At 43.5% G+C, this 20031-nt stretch overlaps 1 protein-coding gene across 1 annotated transcript in view, besides 3 other annotated features; it reads left to right on the top strand.

The window, feature by feature from the left end:
• Positions 8586–9430: an enhancer, noted in NCBI's record as "H3K27ac hESC enhancer chr7:152372703-152373547 (GRCh37/hg19 assembly coordinates)". NCBI's record gives its function as "activates a minimal SCP1, AML or CMV promoter by ChIP-STARR-seq in naive H9 embryonic stem cells {active_cell/tissue: H9 hESC(naive)}" and the evidence as "EXISTENCE:reporter gene assay evidence [ECO:0000049][PMID:30033119]".
• Positions 8661–9130: a silencer, noted in NCBI's record as "silent region_18836". NCBI's record gives its function as "represses an Ori minimal core promoter by ATAC-STARR-seq in GM12878 lymphoblastoid cells {active_cell/tissue: GM12878}" and the evidence as "EXISTENCE:reporter gene assay evidence [ECO:0000049][PMID:35858748]".
• The window catches only part of XRCC2 (X-ray repair cross complementing 2), a 31366-nt gene continuing 20241 nt past the window's right edge, over positions 8907–20031 (top strand). The window contains exon 1 of the mRNA NM_005431.2: positions 8907–9007. Within this exon, the coding sequence (NP_005422.1) occupies positions 8969–9007 (39 nt within the window). The 5' untranslated portion in view covers positions 8907–8968. The remainder of the gene's footprint in view (positions 9008–20031) is intronic.
• Positions 9431–9520: a silencer, noted in NCBI's record as "silent region_18835". NCBI's record gives its function as "represses an Ori minimal core promoter by ATAC-STARR-seq in GM12878 lymphoblastoid cells {active_cell/tissue: GM12878}" and the evidence as "EXISTENCE:reporter gene assay evidence [ECO:0000049][PMID:35858748]".

The raw sequence follows: 20031 nt of genomic DNA, 5'->3' as shown, positions 1-20031 counted from the left end.
TTTTTTTGAGACGGAGTCTCGCTCTGTCGCCCAGGCTGGAGTGCAGTGGTGCTATCTTGGCTCACTGCAAGCTCCGCCTCCCGGGTTCCCGCCATTCTCCTGCCTCAGCCTCCTGAGTAGCTGGGACTACAGGTGCCTGCTACCACGCCCGGCTAATTTTTTGTATTTTTTAGTAGAGACAGGGGGTGAAACCCTATCTCTACTAAAAATACAAAAAGTAGCCAGGCATGGTGTGCACCTGTAATCCCAGCTACTCGGGAGGCTGAGGCAGGAGAATCACTTGAACCCGGGAGGCAGAGGTTGCGGTGAGCCGAGATCGAGCCATTCCACTGCAGATTGCATCTCAAAAAAAAAAAATTATCTGGGTGGTAGTGATGTGTGCCTGCAATCCCTGCTACTCAGGAGACTGAGGTGGGAGAAGCCCATGAGCCTGAGACGCAGGGGTTGCGGTGAACCAAGATTGGGCCACTGCATTCCAGTCTGGGCAAGAGAGTGAGACCCTGTCTCAAAACAAAATAAAACAAACAAAAAAAACCAAACATTTTTGTTACCCTAAAAAAAACCAAACCCATTAGCCATCGCCCCCAAGTTTCCTATCTTCTCTGGTCATAGGGAGCTGCTAATCTCCTTTCTGTCTCTAAACTGATCTATTCTGGACATTTTATGTAAATGAAATTGTACAATAGGCTGATGCCAGGAGATGAGGCTGAGGCAAAGAGGAAATGTCGTCTCCATCCCATACAGAAGTCTGGTAGGACTTAGTCAAGGTGGGCATGTGTGTGCTCTATGACCTAGTCATCCCATTCCAGAATACAGATTGCAGAAACATTTATACAAAAGATCCATAGGGCTCATGTATCCAAGAGTGTTCCTCAGACAGTTGTGCACAGTTATTGGAGTAGGAGGCACTTTTTTTTTAGGGGATGTGGGAAAGTGAAACGTGGAGGATGCACAGCCCAGATGCTCCATGGCAGTTAGAGAGTGGTATATGTGCACACAGAAAAGCACAGTTAGGCCTTAAAATATGGTGTCCATAAAAAGGGGGAAAACTAAACGTATCAGCAGGGGATTAATCAGGAAAACAGAAACTACTTTAAGTTTTTTTTTTTAGACGAAGTTTCACTCTTGTCAGGCTGCAGTGCAATGGTGCATTCTCGGCTCAACGCAACCTCTTGCCTCCCGGGTTCAAGCGATTGTCCTGCCTCAGCCTCCCTAGTAGCTGGGATTATGGGTGTGCACCACCACACCCGGCTAATTTTTTTGTATTTTTAGTAGAGATGGTGTTTCGCCATGTTGGCCAGGCTGGTCTCAAACTCCTGACCTCAGGTGATCCTCCCGTCTTAGCCTCCCAAAGTCCTAGGATTACAGGCATGAGCCACTGCGCCTGGCCCCTTTAATTATTTTTTATTATAAATATTAACTCATTTAGACTTTAAGTACTTTTAAAATAGAATTTAGCCTGCTCCCGGAGACACAGCATCTGCTGCCTTCCTCTTCCTCCCTCCTTTAGGCTCCCCACTGTGCCGCCCACGGTGAGCTCAGAAGGAAGCTCACCTGGGAACCCGGAAACGCAGTTGGAAAGGTCAGCCCACGCCTCCCCTCCTCCCACCCCACTCTCCCGTCCCCTGCCCTCTCGTGTGATACAAAGCAGAGTGGGGAAAGAAGAGAATTTGAGAGTAAAGGGTACCAGCCTGAACACCGAACGATCACAACTCTTCATACAAATTACAAATAAGTACGCATTCAAAACAAAACTACTTTTTTTGGCAAGGAAGTTACAAACACAAGTAAATATTTAAAATACATTAGAGTAATTGCCTATGCAGGGATGAGATAGGGAGTAAGAAATGGGACTAAGAGGGAATAAATAAATGAAGAAGAGCAGGGCCTGCAGGAGCAGAGAACTGGCCACAAATTGAAAAGTGCAATTAACTAACCCCAAGTACATAAAAAAGAAAAGAAGTTCAGTGAGAAAGACTTTAGCATAAGGGAATATTCATTTAGCTGATACTCATTTAGCTGTTGTTATTCCCCTGGGAAAAGGGAATGAAAATTTAGGTTATAACCTATTGGCACCTTAATAAACATGCCCATTTCCTCTAGCTTCTTGCTTCCTCATACTAAAGAATCATAGAATCTAGCCTTGTAAATGGCCTTAGATCCTTGGAATCATCTGGAAGCAACTTAACATGCTAGAAAGACCACAGGCCTTATAGTAGTGATGGAAGATCTGTCATCTCATCCAAATCCCCAAGAAAGAAGTGGAGGCCATCATGTCTCAGAGGCCCGGCCCAGAATCACGTAGGGAGAGCAGAGCTGATGACAGATTTTGAATCTCTTGACCCTCATTCCAGAACCATTCCACCCTGCTATCCTGCTTCTATTTGTCTACTTGACCCTGAACTGTATTGATTGAAAAGCCAGCGATTGAATGACTCTTTAGGCATAGGGTTTTTTTTGTTGGTTTTTTTGTTTGGTTTGGTTTGGTTTTTTGAGACAGAGTCTCGCTCTGTCACCCAGACTGGAGTGCAATGGCACGATCTCGGCTCACTGCAATCTCCACCTCCCGGGTTCAACCGATTCTCCTGCCTTAGCCTCCCAAGTAGTTGGGATTATAGGCGCCCACCACTATGCCTGGCTAATTTTTGTATTTTTCGTAGAGACGGGGTTTCGCCATGTTGGTCAGGCTGGTCTGGAACTCCTGACCTCAGGTGATCCACCCACCTCGGCCTCCCAAAGTGCTAAGATTACAGGCGTGAGCTACCATGCCCGGCCTTTTTTTTTTTTTTTTTAAGACAAGTTCTCACTATGTTGCCCAGGCTGGTCTTGAACTCCTAAGCTCAAACAATTGTCCCACCTTTGCCCCTCAAAGTGCTAGGATTATATGGATTAGCCACCATGCCTGACCAGGCGTAGCTTTGTAGATTGACTTTCTATTTGTTTCTGATGATTTTAAATAAGTGAATTTGAAATTCATTCATACTAATAGAAATATCTTTAGGAAAAAATCTTGGCTGGCCGTGGTGGCTCATGCTTGTAATCCCAGCACTTTAGGAGGCTAAGGTAGGTGGATCACCTGAGGTCGGGAGTTCGACAGCAGCCTGACCAACATGAAGAAACCCTGTCTCTACTAAAAATACAAAAATTAGCTGGGCATGGTGCTGTGCACCTGTAGTCCCAGCTACTTGGGAGGCTGAGGGAGGAGAATTGCTTGAACCTGGGAGGCGGAGGTTGCAGTGAGCCGAGATCGCACCACTGTACTCCAGCCTGGCGACAGAGCGAGACTCTGTCATTAAAAAAAAAAAAAAAGATGTCTAAAGACATCAGTGTATATTTTCTTGAAACAAGGGCTTTCTCTCAGAACATTAGAGCATAATTTCAGAATTATGAAATTAATATTGATAAAAAATTATCTAAATTACATATGTGGCCAGGTCCAGTGGCTCACACCTATAATCTCAGCACTTTGCGAGGTCAAGATGGAAGGATCACTTGAGCCCAGGATTTCAAGACCAGCCTGAGCAACATAGCAGGACCCAGTCTCTACAAAAGTACAAAAACTAGCCAGGTGTGGTGGTGCACGCCTGTAATCCCAGCTACTTAGGAGGCTGAGGCATGAGAATCACTTGAGCCCAGGATGCAGAAGTTACAGTGAGCCTAGATGGTACCACTGCACTCCAACCTGGGTAACAAAGACCCTGTCTCCAGAAAATAAATAAATAAATAACAGACATATTCAGCTTTTACCAACTGTCTCACTAATGTATTTTTCTGGTTCAGAATCCAGTTCAGGATCACACATTATATTAATATATAGGTGTCATGCCTCTTTAGTCACCCTTAATCTGGAATAGTTCCTCAGTCTTTTGTTTGAGATGGAATCTCACTGTGTTGCACAGGGTGGAGTGCAGTGTCATAATCTCTGCTCACTGCAACCTCCATCTCCCAGGGTCAAGCGATTCTCCTGTCTCAGCCTGTGGAGTAGCTGGGATTACAGGCACCTGCCACCATGCCTGGCTAATGTTTGTATTTTTAGTAGAGACGGGGTTTCACCATGTTGGCCAGGCTGGTCTTGAACTCCTGACAACAGGTGATCCACCCATCTCAGTCTCTCAAAGTGCTGGTCTTACAGGCGGGAGCCACTGTGCCCAGCCACGTTTTTGTTTTCGTTTTTTTAATCTAGATTTTTAAAATAATACTGGTTGGTTATATTCTAGAATATAATGTACCTCAGTTTGGGTTTGTGTAATGTTTGTGCATGATTAGATTTGGGTTATGCATTTTCGGTGGGAATACCACAGAAAGGATGCTGTGTTCTTCCCAGTGCACTGTATTAGGAGGCACGTGATACCTATTTTTCTCATTACAGGTGATGTTAAGTTGGATCACTTGGTTAAGGTGATGTTTAATAGGTTTCTCCATGGTGCAGGGCATGGTGCCTCACACCTGTAACCCCAGCACTTTGGGAGGCTGAGGTGGGTGGATCACCTGAAGTCAGGAGTTCAAGACCAGTCTGGCCAACATGGTGAAATCCCGTCTCTACTAAAAATACAAAAAAATTAGCTGGGCGGCCGAGCACGGTGGCTCACGCCTGTAATTCCAGCACTTTGGGAGGCCAAGGCGGGCAGATCATGAGGTCAGGAATTCAAGACCAGCCTGGACAATATGGTGAAACTTGGTTGCTACTAAAAATACAAAAATTAGCCAGGCGTGGTGTTGCACGACTGTTGTCCCAGCTACTCGGGAGGCTGAGGTAAAAGAACCTCTTGAACCCGGGAGGTGGAGGTTGCATCGCGCCACTGCACTCCAGCCTGGGCGACAGAGCGAAACTCTGTCTCAATTTAAAAAAAAAAAAGTTTCTCCATGGCAGGGTCACTCTTTTCTTTGTAATTAACAAGTATCTTGTAGGGAGATACTTTAGGCTATAGTCTGTCTTTAATTATACTTTTATCCAGTAATTTTAGTATCAATTGATTACTCTTAATCTCCTCTTCCAAACTATTACTGTGGCAATTTGTTTTTCTTTTTTTCTTTTTTTTTTTTTTTTTAGACAGTCTCACTCTGTCACCAGGCTGGAGTGTAGTGGCGCCATAGGCATGAGCCACTGTGCCCGGCCTACTGTGGCAATTTTTAAACATTTTAATTTTAGGTTCAGGGGTACGTGTGCAGGTTTGTTATACAGGTAAACTCATGTCATGGGGGTTTGTTGTAGGAATTACTTCGTCACCCAGGTACTAAGCCTAGTACCCAGTAGTTATTTTTTCTGCTCCTCTCCCTCCTCCCACCCTCCAGTCTGAAGTAGGCCTCAGTGTGTGTTGTTCCTTTCTTTTCGTGCATGAGTTCTCATCATTTAGCTCCCAATTATAAGTGACAACATGTGGTATTTGGTTTTCTGTTCTTGCGTTTTTTTGCTAAGGATAGTGGTCTCCAGCTCCGTCCATGTTCCTGCAAAGGACATGATCTTGCTTTTGTTTTGTTTTTTTCTTTTTTGAGACAGAGTCTCACTCTGTTGTGCAGGCTGGAGTGCAATGGCATGATCTCAGCTCACTGCAACCTCCACCTCCCTGTTCAAGCAATTCTCCTGTCTCAGCCTCCCGAGTAGCTGGTATTACAGTCATGCACCACCACACCCGGTTAATTTCTATATTTTTAGTAGAGGCAGGATTTTGTCATGTTTGCCAGGCTAGTCTCAAACTCCTGACCTCAGGTGATCTACCAGCCTCAGCCTCCCAAAGTGCTGGGATTACAGGCGTAAGCCACTGATGATTTCTTTTTTAGGAGGTAAAACATCATGTGTTTCTAAAAGTTAGAGCTGGCCAGTCATGGTGGCTCATACCTGTAATCTTGGCACTTTGGGGATGGCGAGGTTGGTGGATCACCTGAGGTCATGAGTTCCAGACCAACCTGACCAACATGGTGAAACCCCATCTCTACCAAAAATACAATTAGCCAGGCGTGGTGGCAGGTGCCTGTAATCCCAGCTACTGAGGAGGCTGAGGCATGAGAATCACTTGAACCCAGAGACAGAGGTTGCAGTGAGCCAGGATTCTGCCATTGCACTCCAGCCTGGGTGACAGAACAAGACTCTGTCTCAGAAAAAAAAGAAAAAAAAAATTGGAGCTATCAAAAAAAGTTACACATAGGGAAGTGTCCCTCACCCCATCTCTTTTACCCTATTTTCATCCTCCATTTTTTCCAACCTATTTTTATCTACCCTCCGTAGATAAAGAATCCTCTTTGCTTCTCATGTATTCTTCCTGTGTTTCTTTTTACCCAAATGAGCAGAGACATGTGTATCTTTTTCTTTCCCCTCCCTTGTTACAAGAAAGCTAGCAAACTGTAGACACCCCTTCCTCTTTGCCTTTTTCACTTAACACTATATCCTGGAAATCATTCCTTACAGATGCATAGAGATCTTGGCCATTCTTTGTTGCAGCTGCATAGTGCTCCATTTTGTGGCAGTGCCGTATTGTTTTCAACCACTCTCCTATGTATAAACATTTAGGCCATTTCCAAGATTTTGCAATTACAAACCATGCTGCAATATGCTTTTTTTGCATACACGTTTTTGCAATGTTGGAAGTATGACTTCAAGCTAAATTCTTAGAAGTAGGATTGCTGAGTGAAAAAGTTAATAAATGCGTCATTTTGTTAGATAGTGCCAAAATCGGCCAGGTGCAGTGGCTCATGCCTGTAATCCCAGCACTTTAGGAGGCAGGAGGATCACTTGAGCCCAGGAGTTGTAAACCAGCCTAGGCAACATGGCGAAACCCCATCTCTATTAATTAAAAAAAAAAAAAAAAAGATATTGCCAAATTCCTTTCCAAAAAGACCGTATGTTTTCATGCCTACCAGCAGTTTGTGAGAGCGCTTCAAGTATCCTTTTAAACGAGAAGTGATGTTTCCGGAGCATTAAAACTGAAGTGATTTCAAAACCATGTTGCACTCACACGAACAGGTGTGCACTTAATGGACTAAACTAGTTCAGCTGACATGTCTTCTTCATTAGGAACAGTGTGGAGACTGAAAAACTAATTTAGCCTAGAGCAGCTATTTAATTGTAAAGTCTCCTTTCTCAAATATTGATTTACTATGTGAGGAAATATTTACTTTGTATAGAAGTGTGTGGAATTGGACGAGGGGGTTGACCTACACATGTGGTTTGGTATACACATATCCTCATTACAGAGGGTGTAATGAAGATATAGGTGGTTCAGCACCATAGGAAAGGGAAAAAAGAAAAAAAAAAGACGGTAGAGGTGGCCTCCCAAGCATCCACTCCCACTCCTCTTGTTAATGATTCACAATTTGTTGTTATTGTTGTCATTTACTGTTCTCCACACCTTTCCACAAGGCCTGTGTGCTTTGAAAAAATATGTCTCTACTCCGGATAGAAGTGGGGCACACAGGGCCAGGCGCGGTGGCTCACGCCTGTAATCCCAGCACTTTGGGAGGCCGAGGCAGGCAGATCACAAGGTCAGGAGTTCGAGATCAGCCTGGCCAATATGGTGAAACCCCATCTCTACTAAAAATACAAAAATTAGCCTGGCGTGGTGGCACGTGCCTGTAGTCCCAGATACTTGGGAGGCTGAGGCAGAAGAATCACTTGAACCCGGGAGGCAGAGGTTGCAGTGAGCCGAGATGGTACCACTGCACTCCAGCCTGGGCGAGAGTGCAATGAGACTCCGTCTCCAAAAAAAAAAAAAAAAAGAAAAAAAGAAAAGTAAGTGGGGCACACGATTCAGGCCTAAGCTAACCAGACCAACCTCATTCCTGATGGTTGTTAATGTTTCAGATACGGGCCCGCAGCCCTACGTAGAGAAGAGGCCAAGGTAGAAAACATGAATCTGAGGTAAAAAGAAATGAGGTACTTGTTTGCCTCATCAAGCCTCTCAATTAAACTAACCTTGAAGCCTGTCTTACCTTTGGACTTCTAGTGATGTCACCCGGTAAAGCCCATTTGTTTCAGGACGTAAGAGTTGGGTTTTCTGTGACTTGGAACCAAAACCATTCCAATTTACAAAATGAGCAACTTTAATATTACCCATGAGAAATACTTCATTGGTATATGCTCTTTCCTAGCGTTTTTGAAAACTAAACTAGGTGGGTGAAAAGTATATCTTTGCATGAAACTTTTTCATTCCAGAAAACATTTTGTCATCTTGATAATAATGGCCAATGCTACTATATCCAAATTTTTGTCTTTTTTTTTTTTTGAGACAGAGTCTCGCTCTGCCGCTCAGGTGTGATGGCGCGATCTCGGCTCACTGCAACCTCTGCCTCCCTGGTTCAAGCGATTCTCCTGCCTCAGCCTCCCTGAGTAGCTGGGATTACAGGCATGCGCCACCACACCTGGCTAATTTTTGTATTTTTACTGTAGACGGGGTTTCACCATTTTGGCCAGGCTGGTCTCGAACTCCCGACTTCCAGTGATCCTCCTGCCTACCTCAAAAAGCAACTTGATAAATCCACAGGCTCGGTATATTTTAAAAATTCTTTTAAATACAGTATACTTTTCTCTTTTTTTCCAGAATTAACCATGAATCGCACACACAGCCAGAGGCTTTTAACCCGAGAACGGACAAAGGGGCCTGCTTGTGCAATACAATTATTTTTAATGGTTAAACAAATTAATACATAAGACCAGCTTTACCTAATATAATAATAACGAACCAAAGTTTACAACAGACAAGAAAAGCACCAGCTGTCCCCGCCACCCCGGAGCGATCTCCAAGGGGACGCGGGAGAGCGCCGCGGGGGACGCGGAAGTCTGACGTCACAGGAACTGGGGGCGGGGCGGGGAGGCCCGCACACCCTATTGCGCATGCTCCCGCCTCCCCGGCCGCGGCCTGGCGCAGTGCGCACGCGCGCGGGTGGGCGGGTTTGACTGGCCGTAGAGTCTGCGCAGTTGGTGAATGGCGTTGGTGGCGGGAAAGTTGAGTCTCTCCTGCGCCGAGCCTTCGGGGCGATGTGTAGTGCCTTCCATAGGGCTGAGTCTGGGACCGAGGTGAGAGCCGCCGGGTTGGGAGTGAGGGAGATGGGAACAAGGCCGCCGGTGGGCGAGGGGAGCCGAGGGAACCCGGGGGATTGGGAGGCTTGGGGCGGCGCGGCCTGGCCGGGCTGGGACCGGCCTCTCGGCCTAGACGCCCGCGATGCTGGCACCCTCTGCCACCTCTCACCTGGGCCCCAGGGGTCCGCCCCTGGGCAGCCTGGAGTCCTCCGAGGTGGGAGGACCGGGCGGAGGTGGAGGAAGTCTTTCTTTGGAAGACTTGCTGCCTGCCCAGATCGATATAACATACGAGGTCTCTCCTCCCAAGAGTTATGGTCTAAAAACCCCTCACAAATTAACTACCGTTGGAAATGTCAAGCTATGCAAGAAAAGCTAGAAAAGGGGAGGGGTCGCCCGTTGGAGCATTTGGAGCTTTTCTGGAACAGGTGGTGTTTGCGGAGGTTGCCTCACCTCCCTGTAGCCCACGTGTCTCTGCTTAGGGCAGCTGGCCCTCGCCACCCCCTAGTATTCGTTTCCAGCCCAGGTAGCTCCAGAGCCACACAAGCCGGTGGATGCCCCTCAAGAATTGAACCAAGTGTCCAGCACTTACTGTGTGTCAACTACGTGTTAAGGGATAGGAGTAAGCAACAAAAGACATAACTTCTGCCATTAAAGAACTAGTAAGGGAGGCTGCTGTAAGAATTACAGTATTGCACAAAAGTTTGTTGTCCATTAGAGGGGCGGGCATCATGGAAGATGCAGGAGGAGATGACTGAAGTTTCAAGGACCATTTGAAATGGTTTGGCAAGGAGAGGATGACATTCAGAGCGGAGACAGTCGGGAGTACATGGATTCTGAATTAAGCAAGAGCATGGCTAATTTAGATAACTGCAAGTATTTCTGTAAAATTGGAACAAAGGGAGTGAGGGACAATAGGTTGGGAAGTAAGCGCTGAGCAGTGGGCAGGGTATGAAGGATCTTTTATGCAGATGAGAGAGGAAGCAATCTCAAAAGAGTCAGCAAACATTTTTGTGGAGGGCCATGTGGTAAATATTTAGGCTTTGCAGGCCATGCCGTTTCTGTCACAGCCACTCAACTCTGCTGTTCTAATGGGAAGGCAGTCATAGATAAATAAAGGCACATGGCAGCGTTCCAATAAAGCTTTGTTTTTTGGATTTAGCCTGCTGGCCATAGTTTGATAATCCCTGTTCCTAAAGAGTAGAACCACTGCTTAGTATAAGAACGGCTACAGTTATAAACCATAGATATATATATATTTAAAAATATATTTATATATAATATATATTTAAAAATATATTTATATATAATATATATTTAAAAATATATTATATAAATATATATTTAAAAATATATTTATAATATAGATTATATAGAAAGTATATAATACATATAAACATATTTTTTATATATAAATATATATTTTTTTGAGATGAACTCTCGCTCTGTTGCCCAGGCTGGAGTGCAATGGTGCCATCTCAGCTCACTGCAACTTCCGCCTCCCGGGTTCAAGCGATTGTCCTGCCTCAGCCTCCCAAGTAGCTGGGATTACAGGCACACGCCACCACACCCAGCTAACTTTTGTATTTTTAGTAGAGACAGGGTTTCGCCGTGTTGGCGAGGCTAGTTTCGAACTCCTGACCTCAGGTGATCCGCCTCAGCCTCCCAGAGTGCTGGGATTACAGGTGTGAGCCACTGCGCCCGGCCAAAACCTTATATTTAAATGATTATTTGAAACCCAGGTTAAGGTCCGATGATTTTTGCAATCAGAACAAGCCTTGTATCCAAAAAATGAGAGTCTAGCACAGTTAAGTCATGGAACAAAGAATTTAACATCATATCCTTTGCCTGCCTTGTCTGTGTGGCAATCCTAAGCCTAGCTCATACTACTCTGGAGTGGAGTGGGGTGGAATGGTGAATAGGAAGCTAGGCAATTGGCGCTGCTCTATTTTCCTTTTTATTAACAAAACCAGTTAAGCCAGTCTCTTTCCCTTTAAGTGTCTTGGGAACTATGTGGCCACTGCCAAATTTGTTTGAACTCTAGCTTCTTTGCACATTCATCTACTTTGAATTTACTTGGAGGGATTGTGTTGAGGAATATATCTGAAGCCATAAGCTAACCCAAGAAACTGAAATAAACTACTTTAAATTTTTGGTTTTTTTTGAGACAAGAGTCTCACTCTGTCGCCCAGGCTGGAGTGCAGTGGCGCGATCTTGGCTCACTGTAACCTCTGCCTCCCGGGTTCCAGCAATTCTCCTGCCTCAGCCTCCCGAGTAGCTGGGACTACAGGTGCACGCCACCATGCCCGGCTAATTTATTTTTTATTTTTATTTTTTAGCAGAGACCGGGTTTCACTATGTTGGCCAGGCTGGTCTTAAACTCCTGACCTCATGATCCGCCTGCCTAAGCCTCCCAAAGTGCTGGGATTACAGGCATGAGCCACCACGCCTGGCCTGCTTTAAAATTCACTAGAATTAGAACCTAATAAAATAGTTAATCTTTCTTGTGAGTATCAAGGAAAAGACATTTCATATGGGGGTCTTCAAGAAAATAAAGTTGTAAGAATATTTTTTTAGGCTGGGTGCAGTGGCTCATGCCCGTAATCCCAACACTTTGGGAGGTTGAGGTGGGCAGATCACCTGAGGTCAGGAGTTAGAGAGAAACCCTGTCTCTACTAAAAATAAAAAAAATTAGCTGGGTGTGGTGGTGGGCGCCTGTAATCCCAGCTACTTGGGAGGGTGAAGGAAGAGAACTGCTTGAACCCGGGAGGCGGGGGTTTCAGTGAGCCGACATCACGCCACTGCACTCCAGCCTGGGTGACAGAGCAAAACTCTGTCTCAAAAAAAAGAATATATATTTTTTTAGCAGATTCTAGGGATGAAGTTTATGGTAAGCCAGGTGGAGAGTGGAAAACATATGTGCCCTTGATTTAAAAAAGACAAGCATTTGACTACAGTTTACAATAGAACAATCCATTTTTCCCTTTGCACAGTAGCAATAGGATTTTTACTTTTATATCTCACTGAGATTGTGAGAAAAGATCCAGTGATTTGGGCAGTATTTTGGTATCATCCACCAAATGGCTTCATTTGAATACAGTTGTTAAATAATGGTGTACTTTGCATTTTTTCAAGAATGCTAATATGCCTTGAATTTTAAAATAATTGGTAAATAAAAAATTGGAAGTGTCTGTCCAGTTTTGGTTGCTATGCACAGCATACCATGTTTTTTTTCTTTAAAAAACTAACTCCATTATATTTATTATTAAAGCAGTTCATGTACATGGCAGAAAATTCCAATAGCACTGAAGTGAAAAGTAGGAAATGTCTCCACTCCCATTATCATTACCCAAGGATAGCCCTGTGAATATCTGCACATTCTTCCAGGAATTTTCTAATGACGTATTTTGGAGGCTGAGATCTAGAGAATATTGGACTGGAAGTTCAGAAACCTTGGTTCTGCCAGGAGCAAGCATTGTGATTTTGGATAAGTCATTTAACCTTTGCTGTACTTTTGTGAAATGAAGGTGGTAGACTGATTTCTCAGTTCCCTTACAGCTCATATACTTCTTTGTATCCTTTGAACTAAACACAGTGTCTGCATAGTAAATGTAAATATTTACTGATAATAAAGGTTGATTTTCTTAAAAAGAAAAGCTACAGGGTGGTCTTTGCTAGAGGCAAATATTACATAAGACAAATATTTAATGTTTCTTGTAAAATAATAATTGGTGTTGTATAATCACAGAGTTTTAGAATAATGCTTATCACCTTTTGTCTTTGCTTCCCTTTTACCCAGAATAGAATCCCATGTTCCTTCATTATAATTATTCCATTATCATTGCCATCAAATTACTTGCCTCTTAACACCTCTAAGCTATTTACCTACGCATGGTGAAAACCAACTGTCTACTTCCACTCAGCTGAATATTACTAGAGAAAATCACAACTAGGCTGACTTGATTTTATTTTAAATTTATATATTTATTTTCATGTTTTAGAGAAGGGGTCTCACTCTGTCACCCAGGCTGGACAGCAGTGGCACGATTACAGCTCCCTGCAGCCTTGACCTCCTGGGCTCAAGTGATTCTCCCACCTCAGCCTCCCGAGTAGCTGGGACTAAAGGGACACACCACTACGCCTGGCTAATTTTTGTATTTTTTGTAGTGATGGGGTTTCGCCATGTTTCCCAGGCTGGTCTCAACTCCTGGGCTCAAGTGATTCACCTGCCTTGGCCTCCCAAAGTGTTGAGATTACAGGCATGAGCCACTGTGCCTGGCTCCATTTTAAATTTATAATCATCATTCTCAAATGGGCACCCGGTCTAACTATATTTCTCTAGTAATTCACTTTCTCACTACAAAACATCCAACCTTATCCTGGAATTCCAGACTCATGTTCTATCATCTTGACATCACTATGTGTATGTTTAATAGGCATCCCAGATTTAACATATTTATCCTCAATTGCGTCTAGATCCAGGGAAAATATAATAAAGAGTATAGGTATAAGAGAAGAGTATTGTATGTATCAATGTTAAATTTATGATTGTGATTGTAATGTGACTATGCAGAATACCTTTTACCTCTTTTTTGAGTTTATTTTGGTTTTATTTTTTGTTTCTGTTTCTTTGTTAGGAATATCTTTTTGCTTAGGAGATACATATTAAAGTATATGAGGGGAAGCTGTTCAACAAAAGTTAACTCAATTTGGCAAAATGTTAGCAATGGTGGATCTAGGTGAAGGTATTGGTTCACTGTACTATTCTTACGCTTTCTCTGGAGGTTTTAAATTTTTCCATTTTTTAATTTTAATTTTAATTTTTTTTGAGACAGTCTTACTCTGTCGCCCAGGCTGGAGTGCAGGGGCATGATCTCAGCTCACTGCAGCCTCCGCCTCCCATATCCAAGTGATTCTGCTGCCTCAGTCTCCCTAGTAGCTGGGATTACAGGCAGGTGCCACCATAGCTAGCTAATTGTTGTATTTTTAGTAGAGATGGGGTTTCACCATATTGGCCAGGCTGGTCTCGAACTCCTGACCTCAGGTGATCTGCCCGCCTTGGCCACCCAAAGTGCTGGAATTACTGGCATGAGCCATCACACCCAGACTAGTGTAAGCTTTTCTAAATGATGTTTAAAAACATCTGTATGGGCTGGGCGTGGTGGCTCACACCTGTAATCCCAGCACTTTGGGAGGCTGAGGTGGGCGGATTACCTGAGTTCGAGACCAGCCTGACCAACATGGCAAAACCCTGTCTCTACTAAAAATACAAAAATTACCGGGCATGGTGGCACACACCTGTAATCCCAGCAACTCAGGAGGCTGAGGCAGGATAATTGCTTGAACCCGGGAAGACAGAGGTTGCAGTGAGCTGAGATCACACCACTGCACTCCAGCCTGGGTGACAGAGTGAGACTTGGTCTCAAAAAAAAAAAGCCTATATAATATGTATTCTACTAAATAGGCGATATACTGATGCCCTAAAACAGGGCAATGTTTTGTTTGTACCTTGATGGTAGTCATAAGGATGTGTACTCACGGACTTCTGTGTAATAGAGGTTTGCATCAATTATCCAAACCTGAACTTCTAAATAGTTGGAGGTTCTTTACACTCCCCATTCTTCTCCCAGTTCTGCCTGTGCATGCCTTGTTTGCCTGTAGTTTACTAGGCAGCTATTAAGTTTCTGCCAAGCATAAAGCATTGCATTTTGGAATTGGTAACAAAGCCAATATTGATCTCTTTCCTTTTAAATGTTTATATCCAGATGAGGGAGAGTGGCTAGCAATGTGTTCTTAAGGACAGTAATAGCTTCATGGAGGGAAGGAACCTTGAAGAATGCCCAGAATTTTCATTCATTCAGTAGGGAATTTAGTTGGAGGAAATAGGCTAAAGATATTCCAGGTAGAAGGAAAAAAGGCATTTCTCTCTCAGTACACAATTTATATTTACCTGAAAGAACTATGTACTAAAATCTGTCACTCAAAATTAAAAGTCACTCTCACGCAGATTAGAATTGGCCAACTCTCTTTTATGCCCTCACAATGCCCCATGTGTATTTCTGTTACAGCACCTGCCTAACTTTATTGTACTTTTTTTTTTTTTTACAGCCTTTTGACTGTTTAGTTTAAATAGGTTACACTATGTTGCTAGCCTTGGCCCAAGCATCCTTTCACCTCGGCCTCCCGAAGTGCTGGGATTACAGGCATGAGCCACGATGCCTGGCCTCCCCATCAGTTTTGTTGAAAACAGCAACTGTGTTGGCTACATCTTTATATCCCTAGCACTTACCTCAGTTCCTGGAACATACTTGACTTGCATGAAATGTTCACCGGTAAGTGGCCAGGCATGGTGGCTCATGCCTCTAATCCCAGCACTTTGGGAGGTCGGTGCAGGCAGATCACTTGAGGTCAGGAGTTTGAGACCAGCCTGGCCAACATGGTGAAACTCCGTCTCTACTAAAAATAGAAAAAATAGCCGGGTTTGGTGGTGGGCGCCTGTAATCCCAGCTACTCAGGAGGCTGAGGCAGGAGAATCGCTTGAACCCAGGGGCTTGCAGTGAGCCGAGATTGTGCCTCTGCACTCCAGCCTGGGCGACAGAGTGAGACTCTGTAAAATGTTTACCATTAAATGTCTGTATAATTGAGCATTATCTCTTTTGCAGACTAAATGCTTGCTCCAGCAATGCTGCTGCTGCTGAAGACATTTGGGACACCTTGTTAGTGTTCAAGTTTCAACTAAAGGAATGGTTGAAAGAAGTCAGATAATCGCCCAGACAGGACCTCAGATGGCTTTCCTCCTGTTTTTTAATTTTTAACTTTTATTTTTCTGTAGAGGTGGGATCTCACTATGTTGCCCAGGCTAGTCTTGAACTCTTGGCCTCAAGTACTCCTGCCTCAGCCTCTCAAAGTGCTTGGATGACAGGTGTGAACCACTGCACCTGGCCTGATTTTCAGTTTAATAGGTCCAAAAACTCAGTTTAGTCCTTGTACTCATATTTGATTAGTCTCAGTGATACTGAGGTTGTATAGCATAGTAGAAAAATTCCAGGCTTTGAGAATCACAGAGATCTTGATTAAATCCTGGCCCTGACATTTACTAGTTTTCTCATGTGAAAAATACAATAGTAACAAATAGGGTTGATGTAACAATTAAAGGACATAATATAAAGAATGTACTGCTGATCCCACAGTAAGCTCAAATAACTATTATTAGATAGCTATTGTTACGATAATAGAACTTAGCAGATGCTGATTTACAATCCAAGTATCAAATCTATTGACTCACAATATTAGTGAAACTGTCAAATAGATTAAAATTATTATGTCCACTGTGTATTCTTTTCTAGTTAGGAAATTTTGCCTCGGAAAGGTTGCTTAGAGAATTAAGAGAAACAGTTTGTCATAATGGCTATCATCACCAAGCTCTGATGCCTGATGTATTAGTCTTCCCTAAGAGGATTAAACTGTCATGTCAAGCAGAATTTACTTGGGTTCCCTTTACCCTGGACACTTAACAAACTCTTCTTTCGCTTCTGAAACTGCAGGTTGACCATACCTTGCTTCTATTGACTCTTTCCTTGAATCTGGACATCATTAATTTTAATTTTCTGTAATAGGCCTATGTCAGATTTTTGGAGTACCTCTTTTCTTATCCATGGAGGATATGTTCCAAGACCCCCAATGGATGCTGAAACCACAGATAGTAGTGAACCCTATATACACTATGTTTTTTCCCATACAGTAATGAACAGGTAGTGTGTACAGCATGGATATGCTGGACAAAGGGATGATTCATGTCCCACGTGGGACAGAACAGGATGGTACGATATTTTATTATGCAACTCAGAATGACATGCAATTATTGAAAACTTGTGTATTTATTTCTAGAAGTTTCTGTTTAATAGTTCCGAACTGTGGTTGGCTATAACTGAAACCACAGAAAATGAAACTGCAGATAAGGGGGGACCAGTGTATTTTCTGCCTATGTTTAGAAGTTTCTTTTTTTTTTTTTTTGAGATGGAGTCTCGTTCTGTCTCCTAGGCTAGAGTGCAGTGGTGTGATCTCGGCTCACTGCAACCTCCACCTTCTGGGTTCAAGTGATTCTCCTGCCTCAGCCTCCCGAGTAGCTAGGATTACAGGCGCCCACCACCATGCCTAGCTAATTTTTTGTATTTTTCATAGAGATGGGGGTTTCACCATGTCAGCCAGGCTGGTCTGGAACTCCTGACCTCAGGTGATCCACCTGCCTCAGACTCCCAAAGTGCTGGGATTATGGGTGTGAGCAACAATTACAATTGTTAATTGTAATATTAACAATTTGCTTGGCTTGTGAATTGTTAATATTATCCATTACTTGTAAATTTAAATCTATTTCCTATTTCTGGGAGGTTCTTTCACCCCCTTTATAATTCAGTATACTCTGCTTTGACGTTGTAAAACGTTGCTTTGGATATTCTCAGTGGTGGACAGTTTTTCTCCTTTGAAATTAAATTTGATTTTCTAAGTAACAGTGGAAAGTCTGATGCAGATTGCCTAATCCTTGTGGGTAACTAAGAGGAGTAATACCATCTTCGCCCAAAAGAGTCCCGTCAATAAAATTATAATACTTTTTTTCTTTTTTTTTTTTTTTTTTTTTGAGACGGAGTTTTGCTCTTGTTGCCCAGGCTGGAGTGCAATGGCGTAATCTCGGCTCACCGCAACCTCTGCCTCAGACTCAAGCGATTCTTCCGTCTCAGCCTCCCCAGTAGCTGGGATTACAGGCATGTGCCACCACGCCTGGCTAATTTAGTATTTTTAGTAGAGACAGGGTTTCACCATGTTGGTCAGGCTGGTCTCGAACTCCCAATCTCAGGTGATCTGCCCACCTTGGCACTCCCAAAGTGCTGGGATTACAGGCGTGAGCCACCGCACCTGGCCTATAATACTTTCTTGAGTACTATTTTGCCAGGATTTCTCAGGGGTGAGGATTCTACAGTGTTTTGAGAAATGACAGTAAGAGTAAACAATTGGAGTGTCTTCCCAAGTTAATCTAATGAGGATGTTATTCATTCGTATACATGCCTTTGAAGATATTTTATAGTTGTTTCCACGTGCTCTTTCTTGTCCATGAAAGTCTCTCTGTCTTGCTGGGCGCAGTGGCTCATGCCTGTAATCCCAGCACTTTGGGAGGCTGAGGCGGGTGGATCACCTGAGGTCAGGAGTTTGAGACCAGCCTGACCAACATGGCGAAACCCCATCTCTACTAAAAATACAAAAATTAGCCAGGCATGGTGGCACACGCCTGTAATTCCAGCTACTTAGGAGGCTGAGGCAGAAGAATCGCTTCAACCCAGGAGGTAGAGGTTGCAGTGAGCTGAACTTGTGCCACTGCACTCCAGCCTTGGTGACAAAGCGAGACTCTGTCTCAAAAAAAAAAAAAAATAAAGAATCTGTATTTTTCTTTGAGTTATACTCTTTCAGTCTTGTAGCCCAGTGGTTCTTATAGGTTTTAGTCTTAGGACTATGTAACACATTTAAAAGTGGGAGATTCCACTGGGCATGGTGGCTCATGCTTGTAATCCCAGCACTTTGGGAGGCTAAGGTGGGAGAACTGCTTGAGTCCAGGAGTTCGAGACCAGCCTGGACAACATAGGGAGACCCTGTCTCTGCAAAAAGTAAAAAAATTAGCTGGGTTTGGTGGCACACACCTGTGGTCCCAGCTACTCAGGAGGCTGATATGCAAGGATTGCATGGGCCCAAGAGGTCAAGGCTGCAGAGAGCCATGATGTCATCACTGCACACTCCAGCCTGGGTGACAAAGCAAGACCCTGTCTCAAAAAAAAAATTATTGAAGAATCTAAAGAGCTTTTCTTTATGTTATATGTGTCCATGAAACAAATTTAAAATTTTAAAATATTTACATTCATGTACAGTGACACACACATTGAATATTTTTATAAAACATATTTTTATGAAAAAAGCTGTATTTTTCTAAGAAAAAACTGAGAAAAATGATGTTGTTTTACATATTTGCAAATCTTTTTAATATCTGGCTTAATGGAACTGGGTTCTTATGCAGTCTGTTATCATATGTTGGTTGGGTTAAAGTATATGAAGAACATCCATCCTCTCAGAGAAAGTCACGTTGGGAAAGGGAGGAGTATTTTAAGACCTTTTCACAGAATTATAGATATTCTTCTTGGTTACTGTTACCAAAGCTTGACAAGTAGTAGTTTTCCTAAAGGCTAACTACAATGTGGGATATAAAATCTTAAGACCTTGGCCAGGTGCAGTAGCTCACACCTGTAATTCCAGCACTTTGGGAGGCCAAGGCAGGTGGATCACTTGAGCCCAGGAGTTCGAGACCAGCCTGGGCAACATAGTGAGACCCTGTCTCCTAAAAATAACAAAAAAAATTAGCTGGACATAGTGGCACGAGCCTGTAGTCCAGCTACTTGGGAGGCCGAGGTGGGAGGATCACTTGAGCCTGGGAGGTTGAGTCTCATCGTGCCATTGTACTCCAACCTGGGTGACGGGAGTAAGACCCTGTCTAAAAAAAAAAAAAAAAAAAAAAAGGTTTGTCTTACAGTTGGAGTGAAATCTTTTACCCAGGAATGATTTCACACCATGCATCTTTTGGATGGTTCACTGAGTTATGTGTTAGGCACAGTTTTCCAGAGGAGAAACACAACCAACAACCAATAGGATACATGTAGATATATAAGAGGAAATTTATTATGGAAATTGGCTCACATTGTTACCAGGGCAGCAAGTCTGGTTGGGGTCCACAGTCCTTAGTTCTTGTCTTCTTGGAAGAAAGAATTCAGCCAAGACAGAAGTAGATTCAAGGCAGGACTGAAGGGTTTTTGAAGTAACGTTCACTTGGAAGGGACCAAATGGGCAACTTGAAATATTGAATGCCCCTATTTCCTGATCCTTCCTGGTCTCCTCTCATCCTTCTCCTTGGATGGGCTGCTGGCTAATTGCCTCATGTGCAGTGACTTGCCAGCATCTGAAAGGGGCCACGACTGCCATTTGGTGTTTGG

Source organism: Homo sapiens, chromosome 7, assembly GCF_000001405.40.
Source record: "Homo sapiens chromosome 7, GRCh38.p14 Primary Assembly".
Classification (NCBI taxonomy): domain Eukaryota; kingdom Metazoa; phylum Chordata; class Mammalia; order Primates; family Hominidae; genus Homo; species Homo sapiens.
The sequence above is the reverse complement of the archived record's forward strand: the minus strand, read 5'-3'. Positions and strand labels throughout refer to the sequence as shown.